Source organism: Homo sapiens, chromosome 7 (assembly GCF_000001405.40).
Source record: "Homo sapiens chromosome 7, GRCh38.p14 Primary Assembly".
Classification (NCBI taxonomy): Eukaryota; Metazoa; Chordata; class Mammalia; order Primates; family Hominidae; genus Homo; species Homo sapiens.
In genome coordinates, this window is record NC_000007.14 from 139,020,714 (window position 1) to 139,042,122 (window position 21,409).

The 21,409-nt window shown below is 44.7% G+C and overlaps 1 protein-coding gene and 1 long non-coding RNA gene across 4 annotated transcripts, besides 4 other annotated features; one reads left to right on the top strand and one right to left on the bottom strand.

Moving 5' to 3' along the window:
- Window positions 1-784: 784 nt before the first annotated feature.
- On the bottom strand, window positions 785-15,329 carry ZC3HAV1L (ZC3HAV1 like). Of its 3 annotated transcripts, none has more exons than XM_011516688.4 (5): window positions 14,940-15,329; window positions 13,830-13,965; window positions 7,989-8,247; window positions 5,995-6,120; window positions 785-2,454 (listed from the first exon to the last, which is right to left on the bottom strand). In XM_011516688.4, exons 1-5 carry the CDS (start codon window positions 15,302-15,304, stop codon window positions 2,375-2,377), a joined length of 966 nt encoding a protein of 321 aa, XP_011514990.1. In that variant the 5' UTR covers window positions 15,305-15,329; the 3' UTR covers window positions 785-2,374. The 3 variants fall into 3 exon arrangements, with proteins under 3 accessions (XP_011514990.1, NP_542391.2, XP_006716239.1); NM_080660.4 differs by lacking the exon at window positions 785-2,454 and adding an exon at window positions 4,993-5,847; XM_006716176.4 differs by lacking the exon at window positions 785-2,454 and having other exon boundaries at window positions 6,031-6,120; window positions 7,902-8,247.
- Window positions 14,642-15,161: a silencer, noted in NCBI's record as "silent region_18691". NCBI's record gives its function as "represses an Ori minimal core promoter by ATAC-STARR-seq in GM12878 lymphoblastoid cells {active_cell/tissue: GM12878}" and the evidence as "EXISTENCE:reporter gene assay evidence [ECO:0000049][PMID:35858748]".
- Window positions 14,642-15,655: a biological region, named in NCBI's record as "H3K27ac-H3K4me1 hESC enhancer GRCh37_chr7:138720195-138721114".
- Window positions 14,736-15,655: an enhancer, noted in NCBI's record as "H3K27ac-H3K4me1 hESC enhancer chr7:138720195-138721114 (GRCh37/hg19 assembly coordinates)". NCBI's record gives its function as "activates a minimal SCP1, AML or CMV promoter by ChIP-STARR-seq in naive H9 embryonic stem cells {active_cell/tissue: H9 hESC(naive)}" and the evidence as "EXISTENCE:reporter gene assay evidence [ECO:0000049][PMID:30033119]".
- Window positions 15,412-15,621: a silencer, noted in NCBI's record as "silent region_18692". NCBI's record gives its function as "represses an Ori minimal core promoter by ATAC-STARR-seq in GM12878 lymphoblastoid cells {active_cell/tissue: GM12878}" and the evidence as "EXISTENCE:reporter gene assay evidence [ECO:0000049][PMID:35858748]".
- Window positions 15,470-16,237, top strand: LOC107986852 (uncharacterized). The gene is made up of 2 exons (XR_007060557.1): window positions 15,470-15,658; window positions 15,940-16,237. It is a non-coding gene; the product is annotated as an uncharacterized LOC107986852 (long non-coding RNA).

The window sequence follows — 21,409 nt, forward strand, 5'->3', positions numbered from 1 at the left end:
TAATGAAACCATCATGTGTAATTGTAAATACTTTCAATTACAAAGGGAAATGCTTACACAATAATATCAATCCCAAATGGCATAAAATTGTCTGTATAGCATACCTTCGATATTTAAGGAAATATGCATAAAAAAGACTGAAAAAAGCCTGGGCCTGGCAGCTCACACCTGCAGCCCCAGCACTTTGGGAAGCCAGGACTCCACCTCGGAGGCAGGTGGATTGCTTAAGTCCTGGAATTTAAGACCAGCCTGGGCAACATGACAAAACCCTGTCTCCCCAAAAAAAAAAAAAAAAAAAAAAAAATTAGCTGGGCGCGATGGCCCATGCATGCATGCAGTCCCAGCTACTCAGGAGGCTGAAGTGAGATGATCACTTGAGCCCAGGACGCAGAGGCTGCAGAGGCTGCAGTGAGCTGTGATTGCACCACTGCACTCCATCCTGGGTGACACAGAGAAACCCTGTCTCAAGAAAAAAAAAAGAAAGAAAGAAAAAAATACAGTATTAAGAGCGATTATACAGTGGTATTATGAGATGATTAATATGACCTCCTTCATACATTCCTGTACTCTCCAAAATTTCCACAATGATATATTTTCAAAAAATAATTTTGGGAAAATATTCCTAAATAATAACAGGGTAATTAAAAATACAATAATACATTATTTTTTAAATAAAAATGGCATTACAAACCAATTTACAAAAGCTCCAGACAGTATTTAGAAAAAGATTTATAGTTTGGCCATATGCCAGTAAAAATAAAAAGGAAATTACTACACACACACATAAAATATAAATGAATTTTATTTATGAATGTATAGATGTACAGCAAATAGGAAAGATAATACATTAAAAGAACATATACTATAACCAGGTAGAGTTTTATCTCAGGAATTTAAGGATGTTTTAATATTACAAAAACCCTTATTATAATCATATTAGGCAATTTAAGTGATAAAAATTTGATTGTATCAAAAGACACCAATTCCTTTTATCAAGCTTTTAGCTTCCAACAAACAAGAATAGAAGATGTTATTTCTGTTATCCTAACAAAGAACATTTGTTTAAAACCAACAATTAACTTCATATGTAATGAAAAAATATCAAAAAAACTTATTACAATTTTATGAAACACAAAAACAAAATAGAAATACCTATGATTTTATATTTAGAAAGAGCAAACAGGCCATCTAAAACTGTTAGAACAAAGAAAATCACCAAAAGATACATATTTTAAAAGTTAATAGCTTTCTAATAATAGAGATTCCCATGCTGACAGCAACATAGATATAAAACAGCCAAGAAAGAATTAATTAAGGTATATATAAAACCTAGACAAAAAGAAGAACCAAGTATAATGAAAAAAATCAAGAAACATGACAATAATGGAGACTAAATCCCTCGATGGAAAGAATTATAATCATAAATGTAAGCCTTAAAGAGTTAACTTTAGATGTAGACAAGTCAAACTGAAGCACTAAAAACATGTTGACCTTATATAACACATTCCTTAGGGGGAAAAAAAGATTTTTTAATATTGGAAAAAATATGGTTAGGCATAGTGGCTCATGCCTGTAATCCCAGCACATTCAGAGGCCAAGGCGGGAGGACTGCTTGAGCTTAGGAGTTCAAGACCAGCCTGGGCAACATAGTGAGACCTTGTCTCTACTAAAAACCTAAAAAGATTAGCTGAGTATGGTGGCATGCACCTATAGTCCCGGCTACTAGGGAAGCTGAGGCAAGAGGATGGCTTGAGCCTGAGAAATCAAGGCTGCAGGGAGCTGTAATTGTGCCCTGCACTCCAGCCTGGGCAACAGAGTGAGACCCTGTCTCAAAAAAACGTCGGAGAAGGAGGAAAAACAATGAAGACCAATATGCTACTGATTCACATGGATTCAAATACAAAGTATAATCCATTATATGGCAAAAAATATGTCTTCACTACCAAGTGTTACAATTACCAAGAATAAATAATGTTTTGCTCAGAGCTAGTGAGTAAAAAAACACAGCATTGCACACAGCATTGCAACATAAAGTAAGTGCTATGTTAGGCCTGTAAGAATGCTACAAGAGTCACCTCTTTTGGAGTCAAGAAAGGCCAACCTGGCGTTTTGAAGAATCCAATTTTGCTAGGTTGTGAGGTAGGAAGAAGGAATGGCACTTATAAAAGAGGGAACATCAGGCTGAGTGCAGTGGCTCACGCCTATAATACTAACACTTTGGGAGGGCGAGGTGGGTGGATCACTTGAGGTGAGGAGTTCAAGACCAGCCTGGCCAACATGGTGAAACCCCATCTCTACTAAAAATACAAAAATTAGCCAGGCATGGTGGTACATGCCTATAATCCCAGCTACTCGGGAGGCTGAGGCAGGAGAATCACTTGAACCTGGGAGACGGAGGTTGCAGTGAGCTGAGATCATGCCACTGTACTCCAGCCTGGGCGACAGAGACTCCATCTCAAAGGAAAAAAGAAAAAAAAAAAAAAAAAAAACAGGGAATATCATTTACAGAGAATCACAAGACAAAATAGCACATTCCAGAAATTCCAAGTAGGTCAAGTACATACAATGTTGGTCTGCATTTTAAAAACTCGACTAAAGTCAATATTCAATCAGAACATTTCTCATAACAATCTGAATTTCTGGCTTCTTTTTAAAAAACTGGGCACTATGACAAAGTGGGCCCACATTCCCACGTGGATACAAGAGGCAGGCGTCCCTTTTAGATGGGACAGTTTGCCACAGCACTTCTCCCTTCTCCCACTGCTCTTGCATCCAGTTCACTTCATCCATTTAACTCACCTTTCTAGTCCCTGCAGGCGTTTTGAGTTTACAAATACCACCCTACATGATGAGGACCAAGGAAGGTTTCAGCAGGAAAAAAGCCATATGATTAGCTTTGTTTTCAAAATGTCAGGCAGCCAGATGGAAGGCAGGAGAAGTGAAGAGTGGTAAGGAGACCAGTGAAATCCACAAACGCTTATTCTATTAAAGATTAAAACAGGGCTACCATCACTGCAGTGGGAACAGGGCACCTTTTACCAAAAACTCCCATAACAGATGACTTGAAAACCACTGAGTTTATGCATCTGTAGGATATATGCAGGAAGATGATGAGGGTTTGAAACAAGGCAGTATGTACAGGGTGGAAAGAAAGGGGCAGAGAAGGATAAATATTTGAAAGGTTTTTGAGGGGAAGAAACTCTCCAACACTGGGTAACCAATTTGACAAAGGGAACAAGGAGAAAAAAAAGTATAGGACAATTTACAGCTTTTTGTCTATGTCATTAGGTAGATAGTGGTGACATTCAAAAATAAGGAAATAAAAGCAGGAACAAGACTAAAGGAAAATTCATAATTCAATTTAGAATACATTGAATTTGTAGAGTCTACAGACATGCGACTTGACATCAAAAACCCCGATAAATTACCAAAGAAAACTCTTTTCCAACTATAATGCGATAACTTTCTAACAGCTTAATCATGAGTGAAAATCAGAGAAAGGCATGGTTATATAAAATATTTTACAGAATGAATACCAACAAAACTAAGATTAAAGTAGACTATTATAGAATTGAATAAAATACTGCAACAAAGATGACAGAGGACCAATAACATCACATATAAAAGCATAATGATAAGATATAAAAACAGAACATAAACAAGTAAAGGTCCAGCAAGTCTCTCAATGTAAAGGAAATGCATTTATACCCTACACTGTTTCCATTAAAGATTTAAGATAGCTTACTACAAAAATATACATAGTAAAATGGTAAGTGTAAATAATAGTAATAATTAAATGTAAAAATTTTTTTAATTATCACCAGGAGAAATCTGGACTAGAAAAAAAGAAACAAAATATGCAGAGCATAAGGGCTTTCAGAAATATCGTTGACAATGAAAGTAAAAAGCTCAACACAAGTGGCATGACTCTTATTATCCATTAGGAGAAAACACAGCCATTTCTCACTTTAAAAAGGACATTTTTGCTTTTTCCCTCAATTGAAAAGATAGCATTTCATGATAAAAATTTCTCTACATTAATTTAGCTTTATGAAAACTTATTACATTGTCTCTGTTTCTCAAATGTTATGTTACTGCAGGACAGTTGAATTTAAAAACAACAACAACACTTTACACAGTGACATTTGAGGATGACTACAATAAACAGAACAAAAAAATTAATTGCATAAAGCTGCTTCTTGTGGTACCCCTTGATGAAAATAAACCACAAAATACTGAAATGTAACTCAATGAACACAGCTGGGTAGGTGGAGAGCAGGGAGGAAGGGAGAAGGGAGAAAGGGGAAAGGGAACATGAAGTGGGTGAGGTATACAGACTTCTGATGGTCCATCCTGAGCCACAGGAAGAATGGATACAATTTAAAGGAGTGGATATACTGCTCATCCTTCAAACTATTGTGACTGGGCTTTGGTAAAAGCTCAGCAAGAAATGAAGAGTAGACAGAGTCTCACACCTGTAATCCCAGCAGTTTGGGAGGCCGAGGCAGGCAGATCACCTGAGGTCAGGAGTTTGAGACCAGCCTGGCCAACATGGTGAAACCCCGTCTCTACTAAAAATACATAATTAACTGGGCGTGGTGGCTCATGCCTGTAACCTCAGCTACTTGGGAGGCTGAGGCAGGAGAACCACTTGAACCCAGGAGGCGGAGGTTATGGTGAGATGAGATCGCGCCATTGCACTCCGGCCTGGGCAACAAGAGTGAAACTCTGTCTCCAAAAAAAAAAAAAAGAGTAGACAGAGTGAGGTAGAAGTCTCTGGAGAGAACCCAAAGGTTATATACTCTGTACTACTGGCTGAGGATGGACCTACAAAAATTGAATATCATCCAAGCACAGTATTGCTGAGGTCCTTTCATGAAAATTTGAGGCCTCGTTAAAGGCTGTCCCACATCAGCATAGATGAGGGCCCCATTAATAAAAGGCCAAATATAAAATGAAAAAATAAGAACAATCAGAAAGCAGACACCAGAAAACTATTCACTCATACATATATTTTTAAAAATGCAAATGACAGTATCCTTTAGCATCTATAAGCTAAGCAAAAGTAAAAAATAGCTGGAAAAATTCAATATTCTGCAGATTTTAAGACAGGAGTTATATTCAAAATTTGTTAAGAGGCTGGGTGCAGTGGCTCATGCCTGTAATCCTAGCACTCTGGGAGGCTGAAGCAGGCAGATCGCTTGAGCCCAGGAGTTCAAGACTAGCCTGGGCAACATGGCAAAATACCCTCTCTACAAAAAAAAAATACAAAAAATTAGCTGGTCGTGGTGCATACCTGTAGTCCCAGCTACTCAGGAGGCTGAGGTGGGATGATCACTTGAGCCCAGGAAGTCAAGGCTGCAGTGAGCCGAGATCACGTCACTGCACTCCAGCCTGGGCAACAGAGCAAGACCATCTCAAAAAAAAAAACTGTTAGAAAAAGCCAAGTAGTTAAACAAACTATGATAATATTAATGTATCTGTGCAAAAACATGATTATGTACGATGTGAACAAATATAGAAAGATGCTTATGAGACAATATTAAGTGAAAAAAAAAAATGAGTGCAAAGTACTCTAGGATTGCCACAATATAAATTGATAGAAAAACAATGGTGGACCACAGAAGTCAGCAGAGCTCCATCTACCCAGCCTGAGGAAAGCACCTAGGAGCTGCAGATAGCAGCTGCCATCTTCAGCACTTGCCCTGGACTAGCCCCATCTGCACTCAATTTTAGCCTCTCTTTGCCTGTTCAATGTCCCACCCCATCCCCAACCACCCATGCCCAAATGTATTCTTCCAAAAGGACATTTTCTCCTTTTCCATCTTCTTTACTTCTCGCAAGACACTGTGAGGTAGATATTATTATGACCATTACAAATCTATCATTAAATGAATGAATGGTTACAAATTAAAGCTAAACAGAAGGCTTGTTTTCAGATCTTCCAAGCTGGACAAGCTTCTTCTTAGTTCACTGACCCCCTTTAAGGTTTACCTGGGCAGGGCTTCTTGGCCGACTGAGCAGGGACAGAAGCCAGAGGACCAGCTTCTGCAGCTCCAGCTGCGTGCACTCCTTGCTTCTCAAGGCCTTGTGAATGCTCAGTCGAAGGTGATGAATTATCTACAAAGAGGAAAGGGATAAGTTTTCCTACGATACCCCAAGTTTCATTTTACGTTGGGAGCAACAGCCCAGCTAACCAGCCATCAGACAAGACTCCCAACACATGGATTTGGAGAGTTCATGTCTTCTGGATTTTAAAAAATTGTATGTGTGTGTGTATAAAAAATAGAGAGAGAGAGAGCAAGCGGAAAGTCACTATGTCACAGGAGAGACTCACCAAACGAAACCAGATGAAGACAATGACAGGCCCTAGACACAGCATAGGGTAGAAGGTACCTGCCACCATTCACAGTTCCCTAAACAGCCCGACACTGGTATATGCAGAGCCCTCCCTGTCTGCACTCACTACGTCTGACACTAACATCCCAACACATGAAAACTCGATGGTGAAAGCTTAGCAACTCCGCCTTTGGTGATTTACCTTTCCCAACAGCAATTCTCCTAAGCCTACCACCCACTGATTTCTAGGTACCAGCAAATGTAACAGAATAAGTAACTGAATGCATTAGAATTAAAAGAACACCAAACCACACTTTGTAGACTAAAAAACTACTAAAGGCCAGGTGCAGTGGCTCACGCCTGTCATCCCAACACTTTGGGAGGCCAGGGCTGGAGGACTGCTTGAGCCCAGGAGTTCAAAACCAGCCTGGTCAACATAGCAAAACCTTGTCCCTACAAAAGAAAAATTTTAAAAAATAGCTGGACATGGTGGCATGTGCCTGCAGTCCCAGCTACCAGGGAGGCTGAGCAGAAAGATCACTTGAGCCCAGGAGTTCGAGGCTGCAGTGAGTCATGACTGTGCCACTGTACTCCAGCCTAGGCAACAGAGCAAGATCCTGTCTTCAAAAACAACAATAAAAATTACTGAAAGACTATGGGAATATATTTATAATGGGAATATGCAATATTCCTAGCAATATGGGAAAATATGATGTTGTATAAAGTAGAAATTTAAGATATTAAATTAACATATACTTTGAGCACAATTGGATTCGTGTTTGTATATAACAGAACTGAAGGGCCTATAATAAAATTGTAACAAGTATAGTAGATTAGAGTGAGCAAAATCATATACAATTTTCATTTCCAGTTGCTATTTTCCAAATTGTTCTGTAATGTCATTAAAATTACTTAAAAATTAACAAAGCCAAAAATTATATTTATGACAAGAAAGCCATCCCTACATTAATCTTACTTTTCCACTCACCGGCCCATCTCCTTCCTCTTTTTCCTAACTATGCCATTAAAACTGTTCTACTAGGCCGGGCGTGTGGCTCATGCCTGAAATCCCAGCACTTTGGGAGGCCAAGGCAGGCAGATCATGAGGTCAAGAGATTGAGACCATCCTGGCCAACATGGTGAAACCCCGCCTCGACTAAGAATACAAAAATTAGCTGGGCATGGTGGCGCATGCCTGTAGTCTCAGCTACTCGGGAGGCTGAGGCAGAAGAATCGCTTGAACCCGGGAGGCAGAGGATGCAGTGAGCCCCGATCGCGCCACTGCACTCTAGCCTGGGCGACAGACTGAGACTCTGTCTCAAAAAAAAAAACAAAAACAAAACCTGTTCTACCTACTTCCTGACATCCAATTTACCAACAAGCTACTGTTCAATCACTTGGGTAGATTCTAGTAGCTAGCAGTGACAGTGCTAAAGATAAACTCCATCCCTTCTCTCCTTTGGTTAGGATCACCGTTCTATACAATACAATGTTGCCTGTTCTAAACTTTCCCAAGAACAAAGATGAAATTAACATAGGAACTGCTTTGCCCCCAGACTCACTTTCATGTCACTGTTCTTACTTCTTCACAGTGAAGCATCGCAAAACCATATCGCTGATACTTCTCTGTCCTTCTTGGATATTCCTACCTGTATTTTCAAGCATCTTGTGCAGCTTCATATGCTTGTAGGTGGAGATTATCTGAAAATTAACAACACTTGGAATATTCAGTCCTTGGTCCTGTAGCAGCTTCAAAGATGCAGCATGGATAAGCTGATGGGACCGTTTGCAGGTCTGAAGTTTGCATTCTCCTTTCACAAAGGATTTGCACACATGAAACTTGTTGCATTTATCCTTGAGGTTGCAGTAGCCATACAGGGCTTCCCCTTTGTTGTAGAGCAAACAGACCTGGTACAGAAATGAGGGAACACCTGAAATATTAGTTTTTCTTTTTTTTTTGGCAGCGGGGAGATGGAGTCTCGCTCTGTCACCCAGGCTGGAGTACAGTGGCACCATCTTGGCTCACTGCAACCTCCATCTCCCGCGTTCAAGCAATTCTCCTGCCTCAGCCTCCCGAGTAGCTGAGAATACAGGCGTTCACCACCACAGCCAGCTAATTTTTGTATTTTTAGAAGAGACGGGGTTTCACCATGTTGGCCAGGCTGGTCTCCAACTCCTCACCTCAGGTGATCTGCCCACCTCAGCCTCTCAAAAGTGCTGGGATTACAGGTGTGAGCCACCACACCCGGCCAATATTAGTTTTCACTCTATCTTTTAAGCCAAAAGACTATAGCTTCTCTAGCTAAACTGAAGACTAAATGACATCTTCTGATCACCAGTGGCTGTTAAAATCTTTGGGGGAAAGCCTGATGATAGTGTAGTGGTGCTAACCATACTCCCGCTGCTGTGGGCACTGGCTGCTTGTGACTCACAGCTGCCCCCTCTTACTTTACACTCTCAGCTGAACTGCCCTCTGTCCCCAAAGCCTGTAGCCAATGAATGACTTAGATAAAGCTAAAAAAATGCTAGAGTGCCTCAAAGCTAGACTCAACGTGATCTTTGTTCCACAGCTCCCCATGAATGAAGTCAAGGCCAGACCTTATGTGCTTGTAGCTTTTCCTTCCTTAGACCCTGCTTCCCTCTCTCCCACACTGGGTTTTCCTGAAAAGCCCGCCCTCAAAAAAATCACACATACCTGGGTCTCTATCTCAGGCTCTGCTTCCAGGGAAACCAGTTTCAACGGGTGGCACAAAGATCTAATTTATGATCCAGACGAGGGCATTTTTAGGCTGCAAGGGAGCACTATTAATAATCACACTGGGACAACTAATATAAACTGGGTCTATCCCAGACACACCAAGACCACATTGATAGGGAACTTTATAATGATGGGATCAGGCTGTTGACCCTGAAACCACGCATCAGTCTTGGCCGCTCACACAAAGATGACATTATATGCCTCCTGATGTGATGCAACAGAAATAGAACTGTCCAGGTTTTACTATGAAAGTCTGACATCCCCGGCAACCCCTCAGTCCCAGGCAAATGGGCTGCTGAGTCACCCTAACAATGCTGCACACGTAAAAAAACTCTTGCTATAAAATAAATCCTGGCTGGGCGCGGTGCCTCACACCTGTAATCCCAGCACTTTGGGAGGCCAAGGCAGAAGGATCACCTGAGGTCAGGAGTTCATAACAGCCTGGCCAACACGGTGAAACCCTGACTCTATTAAAAATACAAAAGTTAGCCAGGCATGATGGCACACGCCTGTAATTCCAGCTACTGGGGAGGCTGAGGCAGAAGAATTACATGAACCGGGGAGGTGGAGGTTGCAGTGAGCCAAGATTGTGCCATTGCACTCCAGCCTGGGCAACACAGCGAGACTCCGTCTTAAAAATAAAATAAAATAGAGGCGGAGGTTGCAGTGAGCTGAGATTGCGCCACTGCACTCCAGCCTGGGCGACAGAGCGAGACTCCATTTCAAAAATAAATAAGGCCCGGTGTGGTGGCTCACACCTGTAATCCTAGCACTTTGGGAGGCCAAGGTGGGTGGATCAAAAGGTCAGGAGTTCAAGACCAGCCTGGCCAATATGGTGAAACCCCGTCTCTACCAAAAATACAAAAATTAGCCAGTCATGGTGGCACCTGTAATCCCAGCTGCTTGGGAGGCTGAGGCAGAATTGCTTAACCTGGGTGGCAGAGGTTGCAGTGAGCCGAGATCACGCCACTGCACTCCAGGCTGGACGACAGAGTGAGTCTCCATCTCAAAAAATAATAATAATTAATTAATTAATTAATTAATTAAATAAAGTGAAATAAATCCTAAATCTGATCAAAATTTGAGGGATACAGGAACATGTTCAATAGTACTACAGGAATGTAATCAGTCAAATCTAAAATATGGGAAATCCTACAAGACACAGATGACCTGGTTTAAAATGAAATAGCATCCTATTTATAATTGTGATGCCAATTTTCTAAAATAAATTCGTAACTTTAATGCAATTTCTACCCTTCTCAAAGAATTCCTTTAAAATAGTTTTAGGAATTTAAGTGATTCTAAAGCTTATCTGGAAAAGGAGACATGAACTGATTAAACAAACAAACAAAATTAGACAGGCACAGTGGCTCATGGCTGTACTCCTAGCACTTTGGGAGACCAAGGATGGCAAATTGCTTGAGCCAAGGAGTTCAAGACCAGCCTAGGCAACACAGCAAGACTCTGTCTCTACAGAAAAATTTAAAAAGTGGACTGGGCACAGTGGCTCATGCCTGTAATCCTAACACTGTGGGAGGCCAAGGCAGGCGGATTGCCTGAGCTCAGGAGTTTGAGATCAGCCTGAGCAACATGGTGAAACCCTGTCTCTACTAAAAACACAACGAATTAACTAGGCATGGTGGCACTTGCTTGCAGTCCCAGCTACTAGGGAGGCTGAGGCACGAGAATTGCTTGAACCTGGGAGGCAGAGGTGGCAATGAGCTAAGATCACGCCACTGCACTCCAGTCTGGGCGACAGAGCAAGACTCTGTCTACAAAACAAACAAACAAAAACAAAAAAAAGTATCTGGGGGCCAGGCGCTATGGCTCACGCCTGTTATCCCAGCACTTTGGGAGGCCAAGGTGGGCGGATCACTTGAGGTCAAGAGTTCAAGGCCAGCCTGGCCAAAATGACAAACCCCATCTCTACTCAAAATACAAAAAACTAGCTGGGTATGGTGGCAAGCGCCTGCAATCCCAGCTACTTGGGAGGCTGAGGCAGGAGAATCGCTTGAACCAGGGAGGTGGAGATTGCAGTGAGCTGAGATCACACCACTGCACTCCAGCCTGGGCGATAGAGCAAGATTCCATCTCAAAAAAACAAAACAAAAAAAAGTAGCTGGGTGCGGTGGTGTACACCTGCAGTCCCAGCTACTCGAGAGGCTGAAGTGCGAGGATTGCTTGAGCCCAGGAGATCGAGGTTGCAGTGAGCTATGACCAGCCTGGGCAACATGGCAAAACCCTGTCTCTGCACTCCAGCCTGGGTGACACAGCGAGACCATGTCTCTAAAAGAGTAAATAAACTTTAAAAATGAAAGATAAACTACTTTAATTAGTATGATAGTGGTTCAAGAATTGGAGATCATGGAAAATAGATCCTACACCTACTCCAAATATAAGGAACAGCCTGTTCCTTATAGATTTGTTAAAATTAAGGAGAATAGGGATATGTAGGTCGAAGGGAACAAAGTTTCAATTAAACAGGATGAATTTCTGGAAATCCACTGTACGGCAAGGTGACTGTAGTTAATAATAACATAATGGCCAGGCACAGTGGCTCACACCTATAATCCCAGCACTCTGGGAGGCTGAGGTGGGCGGATCACGAGGTCAGGAGATCGAGACCATCCTGGCTAACAAGGTGAAACCCCATCTCTACTAAACAAAATACAAAAAATTAGCTGGGCATCATGGTGGGCGCCTGTCGGGAGGCTGAGGCAGAAGAATGGCATGAACCCGGGAGCAGAGCTTGCAGTGAGCCGAGACCTCACCACTGCACTCCAGCCTGGGTGATAGAGTGAGACTCCATCTCAAAAAAAAAGAAATAAATAAAATAAAATAAAAATAAAAATAAAATAAAATAAATAAAAAATAAAATAAAATTTAAAAAAATAACATACTGTATACCTGAAAATTGCTGTCCTTACCACACCCAAAAAATAATAGCCATGTAAAGTAATGGTATGCTAATTAGCTTAATCATTGCAATCAATTCACAATGTAAATATATTAAAACACCACATTGTACACTGTAAATATAAAATTTTTATTTGTCAACTACACTTCAATAAAGACAAAAATTTGATAGAATTCAACTATGAAACTATATAAGCCTGGCCAGGCGCAGTGGCTCACGCCTGTAATCCCAGCACTTTAGGAGGCTGAGGCAGAGGGATCACTTGAGGTCAGGCATATAAGACCAGCCCGGCCAACATGGTGAAACGCTATCTCTACCAAAAAGTACAAAAATTAGCTGGGCATGGTGGCACGTGCCTGTAGTCCCAACTATTCAGGAGACTGAGGTGGGAGAATCACTTGAACTCAGGAGGCAGAGGCTACAGTGAGCCGAGGTACTTCCAGCCTGTGTGAGAGAGTAAGACCCTGTCTCAAAAAAAAAAAAACTATATAAGTCTGATGTTTTCTTGTGCAAGCCTTCTAACTAATGCTTTGAGGTTTGTTTAATGCTTTTATTTTAAAAATTTTTATGACACTATTTTGGCTTTCCGTTTCTTCTTGAATCCATTTTGACAAGCTGTATTTTTCTAGAAATTTGTCCATCAATGCACCAGCATGAAACTTTACCTGTCTATTGTCTTTTTTATTGAGAGAGTGGTAAAAGCAATCATCAGGCATTTCATACAAGAGATGTGAGGCACCATTCTTGCCTCATGCACTGTGTTTTTCCACAGTCCCTGCTGCCCACATGATCACGTTTTGTGCCACATGTCACCTACTTCCAGTCCCAGGTGATGGGGACAAGTGGAGGCACAGGGGAGGCTCCTGTTGTAAGTGCAGCCAACCCATCAGCTGCTCACAAAACACTGAAGTAGTCTAATATGACAAGGTGAGGCTGGGCCCAAGATACATCCTAAAAAAGGGCATACCAAAAAAACATTCGATAGATTTGACAAAATAAAAACACTAAACTTCTATAAATCAAAAAGTACTATAAAATTAAAAGGCAAATAGCAGCGGCACCACGCCTTCTCTCTGAGACAGGAAGGACTGGACCCAGCCTCATAGGTGCAGCCACCCTCCTCTCCCTTCCTGCCAATAACCTGCTTCAGCTACTGCTTGCATCTACTTTGGGCAACATGGTTGGTTGGAATGCCTCTGGCTCACAACCGTGACATACCAGACTTGGCTTCAGTGCTCGAAGAAATGAAACAGGTTATGCATGTCAGGAAGAAACCTGCTTGTTCCTGAGATCAACTCCAGGACTGCCTTCTGGGTACAGATTCTGCTGCCTTGAGAGCAGCCTCTGCCACCTGCACCAAAGGCTCCAGCTCCTACCTCTAGTCTTGTGGCTATCTTCCTTTCTAGACGCTGAAATGCATTAGAGTTAAAATCAGGCCACAATTATGAACTATCCTCTGTTTTCTCAACATCTCCCCTTCTTCCCATCCCTCTTCTGGCCAAGTGGAGGTGTCTATGATAGCATCACTGTGCTAGATTAGAAAATCTTGCTTTTAATTGGTGGTCTTAATTGATGTTCCAATTTTCTCTTGGGATTTGTACTATTTTGTTTTTAAAACTTCTTTGTGTATGGCTAAACTGAAACAAACGTACTATTTCGCCATGATAGCAATTATAAAGGGTACCTTTAAAGCATTTGAAACTGAATCATGTTGCTTCGAAGGCAATTAAAATTAATATGTAAAGCCAAAAGAAAAATAAATGGGGAAAGTACTTGTAGCAAATGTGACATGAGGGTGACTCCTTGGTGACTCACCTCTGGTAAAAGACAGGGGTCATTCTGCAAAAGCAGGATCCGAAGCTGGTTTTCATTGAGACCAAAAAGTCCATGGCTTTTCAGGACCTGCATGTTGACAGGTGTGTGGATATCATGGGAAAGGGTACAGGTAGACCTAAAAGAACAAAGCCCTCGGTCAGATGCCCAGGTGAAGAAGGACCAGTCTGTCCAATTCCTTGCCTTGAGCAGCTTTCAATGTATTTAATACATGTGAAGTTGAGTAATTTTCATGAAACCGGGGATAGTATGGCCTAATAAGCACTGATGGAAAATAAGAAAATTGGGTTGAAGGAACTCCTCTCCCAGGGTCATTTGAATTTTCAGTAGGGATGCTTTGAAGCCAAGGGTCGCCCACCTCGCCTGAGGATGCACATCTGTTCCGTAGGCGACTGCACCTGGCCTTCTCCCCGGCAACAGCTGCCACAGTCCACCAACGTTAAAAAGAAAGCGCCCCTATCCCCAGCACCGCTTTGGCGGGGTGTGTGGCTAGAGACAACCAAGGAAAATTCGGGGCTGTGAAGCACAGCCTGGGGTCAGGAGGCAGCCCCGAACCCCAGCTCTGGCAGTCAGGAACCACAGGGCCTCACCCAAGCCATCCAGCCCTGTTTCCTGGGGTGAGACTGGCTCAGCGCTGTTAAACCTAGAGGGCGCAGACCCGCTTCTGCACAAGTGTGTGGATATGGGGGAGCAGCGATTTCCGGCTAAAGGGTCCAGGGATCTCATGGGATCCTCAGACGCCCCACGCCCCCCACCTCCCGCCAAATATCACCAGAATAAGTGAGCTCCGAAGTCCCAGTCCGGATTTAACCCGGCCGCGTCGCGCAGGATCCGGGGGGGCGGGCGGGGGCAGCAACTTTTCTGGCGTGGGCGGTTGAGACGTCTCCATGGAGAGGACCTTCGCGCCTTTCCGCCCAGCTGCTGGAAGCGCGGGGGAGGACGCCCAGGAAAGGCCTGCGGGAGGGGGTCGTCCAGCCCCGCGTCCCCGGCCCGGGGCAGGACGAAGCCCCCCTTCCCGTCGCTCCCGCTTCCAGCAGGACGGCCAGGCCCGCGGCCAGCGCCCACAGTCCCCGCCCGCCGCCGCCTTCTCACCAGCAGTCCCGGTTGGGGCACTTGCCCAGCATGTGCCGGCGGCAGAAGTGCAGCTGGTCGCAGGCCTGGCACTCGCCGCGCTGGTAGCGGGCGCAGAGGCGCACAGAGGACACGGCCACCACCCTCCAGGCGGAGGTGCCGCCACCGCCCACCGCGCCGGCCGCCGCCTCGGCCTCCGCGTCCCCGAGGCCCTCCTGCGTCTCCACCTCCTGCAGCAGGAAACGCTCGGGCCCGGCGCGCTGCAGCACGTCCCGGAGCCTGGCCTCCGACAGCTCCACGTGGCCGCGCAGGTCCTTCAGGAACATGCGGCCGCCGTGGGCGCACAGCACCTTGGTGAGGAAGGAGCACACTGTGGGCTCCGCCATGGTCGCTGGCGCGGGCCCTGTGCGCGCGGCGCAGCGAGCCGGGGCGGGCAGGCTCCTCCCAGTCACGTCCACGATTTCCAGCGAACAGCCCGGGGATGGGCCTGGGCCTGGCGAGGGGTGGGCCTGCGGGAGGCCGGGCGAGGGGCGGCCCCGGCGCGTGGAAGCAGGGTACGGCGCCTGCGGATCCCCTGGACGTGGACTCAGGCGGGGACAGCGTTGATGGAGCGTCTGCTCCGCCCAGGCACCGTTCAGGGCGAAGCCTGGCCTTGAGGGGCTTGTATAGTGGGAGTCACAAAGGACTCGCCAACAAGACAACTGGTAGTGCTAGGGAGGCCTGCGGAGAAGGAGAAATAGGTAAAAGGTGGTAGGAGGTGAGTGGCCGGGCTGCTTCGCGGGAGGTGGCCACTAGCCACATGTGGCTGCTGAGCACTTCTGGGATTTTTTGTTGTTGTTGTATTTTTATTTTTGGAGACAAGGCCTCACGTTATCGCCCAGGCTGGAGTGCAGTGGCGCTATCGTAGTTCGCTGCAGCCTGGAACTCCTGGGCTCAAGCGATCCTCCCACCTCAGCCTCCTGAGTAGCTGAGACCGAAGGTTCGCATCACTAATTTTTTTGGTTTTTGTTTTGCTTTGTAGAAACGGGGTCTCCTCATGTTGCCCAGGCTGGTCTCGAACTCCTCAAGCGATCCACCTGCCTCAGCCTCCCAGAGCACTGGAATTACAGGCGTGAGCCACCCCGCGGGGCCTGCTGAGCTTTATTGGAAAGTGGCTAGTCCGAATTGAGATGTGATATAAGTGTGAAATACACACACTAGATTTTGAGGACTGAGAATGAGAAAAAGAATGTAAAATATCTCACTAACTTTATATGAATCACATGTTAAACATAATATTTTGGATATATTTGGATAAATAAAATGTTATGACAACTTCATGTGTTGCTTCTACTTTCCTAATGTAGCTATGAGGAAATTTTACATTGCAAATGTGGATTACCTTATTTTTGTTGAGCAGCACCAGTCTAGACCTGCCTTAAGCATCCATGCTTTTTGTCCAACACCTTGCTTGTTTCATGAACGTTTGTTGAGCCAACTACTAACGCAGTGACAGTACAAAGATGAATCAGACCATCAGAGAACTCAGCCAGCCTAGCTGCTATTTTGCAAGGTGCTCGTGAGGATTAAATGCATTAATGTCATGTAATGTAAAGAAGCTAGAGAGGAAGACAACTGGCCAGATGCCAGAAGACCTTCTCTGCCATGCTGTGAAATTTGGACTTATATCCCGAGAACTTTGGGAAGTCACTAAAGGATTTTCATCTGGGAAGTGTGGATGTCTCCTGAGTGCCACTCAAGGTGTGTCATTCAGCTCTGAGCTTTAATGTCTTCTCTTCAGCAAAACCTTTCCTGACCTCTCAAATCTAAAGTAGCTCCCCAGTCTGCATGGAACTTACCACTGATATTTTTCTTCTTTATTGTGTATTTATATATTTAGCTATAGAATTCAGGCTCATGAAAGCAGGAACCTTGTTTTGTTCATTGCTGTATCCCTACCACCTAAAATAGTACCTGGCCATATTGTAGGATAGGTGTTTTAGAAAGACCCCTGGCAGCAATGAGAAGAATGGATTTCTAGAAAAGCAAGACGAGGTGGGGAATAACAGAAAATAAACAGGATTTGAGGGACTATAACCCCAGTGTTATTTATGTTGAGAGTTTGCAGTGGACAACCCAAGGTAAGACGCTCAACAGGCAGGTGTATTCTGTATACAGGTCTAGACCTTGAGGGACATGAGAAGGGAAGGGATGTAGATTTGCGTGACATCAGAGCATTAGGTAACTGAGAGTTGATAAGATCACCTGGCAAAAATGAAGAGTGTGAAAAGGTGGGGGACGGGGGGAAAGAAGCTTGGCGAATACCCACATTAAATAAGCAAGTGGGGGAAGAGAAAAATAGGCAGTAGCCTACGTCCCCTTGGCACTCAGCATTTGTTCCTGAACTCTCTGCCTAAGCTTTTTCCAACAGAAGGAGGAAGCAGCCAGCAGGAAAGGCAGGCTGGAATTACCAAGGAGCCAACACCTCCAGGAAGAGCCTTCATCCAGGGATGTTGGGGAATTGGTGGTTTGAGGATGCACTCTCAACCCTAAAATTGGCATGAGGATTATTTTAAACTAAAGACATGTAAGATTCAATAGAGGCAAAAAGAAGCCTTCTTGAAGCTTCCTTTATTTCAGTAAAAGCAGAATCTTCTGGGAGTGAGGTTGCCATTCATCCCCTCTCCAGGGGTTTATGGACATGAAATAGAAAACCACGTGCACCTGCATAAACAACTTCCCTATGAACACAAACTTCCTTATCTCCTGTTTGTTCCCTAGAAACCCCTTTGTTCTTCCCATAGGAGCCTTTTTGCCCCCCTCTCTCCCCTATTAAGTTAGGTAAATAAATCATCATCACTTCTTTTGTGCAGTGCCATATGCATATATGTTTTTTCTCTTGTCAGTTAAATTTGCAGCCCCTCAGAACTGAACATAAGAGAGTGCAGGAAAAGTTTTTCCTCCCCAACAATGGATCAAACAGCCCAACTCATTCCTCGTGTGGAACCACTTGGAGGTGTACATTCCATGGTCTCCCAATGTTTCCTCAATGGAACTGAACCCCAGTTGCCCACAGCCACACCTGCTCATTAGCACTCCCCATACAGTCTTCCTTCCTTTCCTTGCCCTACCTCCCCATTCCCCTGCCAGTGTTTCTTAGGATCACCTCCCAAGTAAACTGTGTGCATTCAATCCTTGTCAGATTGCTCCTGAGAGAACATAGCCTAACATATAAACTGATAAGGAGAGGTTAGAGAAAAATGAGAGTCATTCATGGACACGCAGAGGAGAGAGTTTCAAGGAGAAAGTGATCAGCATGGTGAGATACTACAGGGAGGAGCTTTCCTACAAGGGAAAGCTTGTAGACAGTGATAACCTAGGCAGGTTTATTTCAGAGGAATAATGAGAAAAGGTAGATTTCTGTAGGTTAAAAAAAGAAGAATAGAAAAACCGAGGACTTTACTTCTAAAAGTAAGTAAGGTAATGATAATAAGAGGAAGACACAAGACTGAGAAAGGTATTTTATTATAGGAGAGACAAGCATAGTTACATGCTGAGTAGAAAGAGCCAGTAAGACCGGGCGCGGTGGCTCACGCCTGTAATCCCAGCACTTTGGGAGGCCGAGGCGGGCAGACCACGAGGTCAGGAGTTCGAGACCATCCTGGCTAACATGGTGAAACCCCATCTCTACTAAAAGTACAAAAAATTAGCCAGGCGTGGTGGCGGGCGCCTGTAGTCCCAGCTACCCGGGAGGCAGAGACAGGAGAATGGAGTGAACCCAGGAGGCGGAGCTTGCAGTGAGCCAAGATCGTGCCACTGTACTCCAGCCTGGAGAACAGAGTGAAACTCCGTCTCAAAAACAAAACAAAGAGAAAAGAAAGAGCTAGTAAGAATGGAAAGTTGAAAATAAAGGAGGCCAGGTGCGGTGACTCATGCCTGCAGTCCCAGCATTTTGGGAGGCTGAGGCAGGAGAATCACTTGAGTCCAGGAGTTTGAGATCAGCCTGGGCAACATGGTAGAACCCTGTCTCTACTAAAAATGCAAAAATTAGCTAGGCATGGTGGCATGTGCCTGTAGTCTCAGCTACTCAGGAGGCTGAGGTGGGAGGATTGCTTGAGTCTAAGAGGTCAGAGGCTGCAGTGAGCCAAGATCGTGCTACTGCACTCCAGCCTGGGCGACAGAAAAAGGTAGGAAGGAAGGGAAAGGAAAGAAAAGGAAGGAGAGAGAGAAGAAAAAAAGAAAGAATATAAAGGAAAGGGGAATTGTAATCAGCGGGGGATGTCCATAGGCAGTGAGATAGAATGGGAGACGTCAGAGGAACTAACCTCCGACAGGAGGGGAGATGCTTCTTCCATTCACACAACAGGAAAGGAGACAAGGATTAGAGCATCTAAAGACAAGTTTGTAGGCTTTGTTTTGTTTTGTTTTTTTAAGTTTAAGGCAAAACCAAGAATGGATGGTGGAGAGTCACTTCAGGAGACCATAAAGGCTTGACAAAGCTGACTTGTGGAGAGGGGAGAAGGCTGACAGGTAGGACCAGTGGGCATGGGCAGGGCCTTACCAAGGCCACAAATTCGTAGTGGCATTGATCCAAACAGTGCTGCAATTCTCCTAAAAGCTCTCAAGGTGTAAGAACAGAATTTGATTGATTCACTTTTAGGTTTTGCCAGTGGGTGAGACTTAAGGTCAAAGGTTCTAGATGATTGAGGTATGAATTGAAAGAGTGATCAGGGGGCTGGGTGCAGTGGCTCATGCCTGTAATCCCGCCACTTTGGGAGGCTGAGGCAGGTGGATCACCTGAGGTCGGGGATTCAAAACCAGCCTTAGCAAAGTGGTGAAACCCTGTCTCTACCCAAAATTACAAAAATTAGCCAGGTGTGGTGGCACACGCCTGTAATCCTAGCACTTTGGAAGGCCGAGGCAGGAGGATCACTTGAGGTCAGGAGTTCGAGACCAGCCTGGCCAACATATTGAAACCCCATCTCTACTAAAAATTAGCCAGGATGGCAGTGGGTACCTGTAATCTCAGCTACTCAGGAGGCTCAGGTGGGAGAATCACTTGAACCTGGGAAGCGGAGGCTGCAGTGAGTTGAGATCACACCACTGCACTCCAGCCTAGGAGACAGAGTGAGGCGCCGTTTCAAAAAAAAAAAAAAGAAGAAAAGAAAGAGTGGTCAGGGGCTGAACAATGGGCTGGAGACTAGGTAAGGGAGGAGTGAAGACAGCAAGGGGCTATATGTGAGCAGAGAAAGACGACGTACGAAATGTAGGAGGGCCAGAGAGCTCAAAAGCAGGCTGGGGTCAGAGGTAGAATATAGAGGTTTGGGATTTCAGAAACAGCAGTTCTAGGCCATTTGCAGTGATTCGTGCCTGTAATCCCAGCACTTTGGGAGGCTGAGGCAGGAGGATCAGTTGAGGTCAGGAATTCAAGACCAGCCTGGCCAACATGTCGAAACCCAATCTCTACTAAAAATTAGCCGAGCGTGGTGGCAGGCGCCTGTAATCTCAGCTACTTGGGTGGCTGAGGCAGGAGAATCGCTCGAACCCTGGAGGCAGAGGTTGCAGTGAGCTGAGATCACGCCATTGCTCTCCAGCCTGGGCGGCAGAGCGAGACTCCATCTCAAAAAAAAAAAAAGCAGTTCTAGAGTAATTCTGACTGATGACAGTGGGGTGATGGATATTGGTACCCCGAATAGTGAGGACAGTGAAGACAGGTGTTAATGACATCTAAGGCTAGGGGTGTTGCATGGGTTGACCACAGTGAACACTGAAGGAAAAGGGAGGATTTTGAGTGGAGAGGAAGACTATGAGGCAGAGTGTGGAGAAGACTCCAAGAGCAAATGCAGGAGTTAATGGGGGAAGGGTGGGGAGGTGAGAGGGAAGAGGTAGAGACTGTTCCTACAGATACACACTTAACCTGCAGACTCTGCACCTGAACTTCCGGGTTTAGAATCTTGGTTCTCTTACTCAGTAGCCGTGACACTGCACAGCTTATCTGACTCCTCAGCAGAGGTATAGATCCTGGATTCAGAGTGTGTGACACTTGGATCTGGGAATAAATAAGACCATTCATGGGGAAGTGCATAGAGGGGTAAAAAGGAAAGATCCCAGAGCAGACTGTTTATTGAAGCATGTGGATTTTTCAGGAAGAAGAGGGTGACATTAGATGCCGGGCAGGTTCACAAGGGAATGAAAAAGAGAAAACAGGAGGTTGAGGTTGGGGGTGGTATTTTAGGATTGGAGCTTTTAAGGCTTAAGCACTTCCTGGAACGTTCTGATGTCTCCTGCCACTCTGATTCTGAAGCTCATTCTCAAGCTTATGGTCACTCAGGCACACATCTGTAGCACGAGCTTTGGAGCAAGTCACTCTGGGGACATGCACTGATATCACTGTTATAAATTCATCCGCTCTGGTCTTAACCTTCTAAATGAAACCTGCCTGTTATCCCCTGAACTCTTTCCAAGACATGTCTCAGAACATGGCCCCATGGCCCCAGACACACATGCTTAGC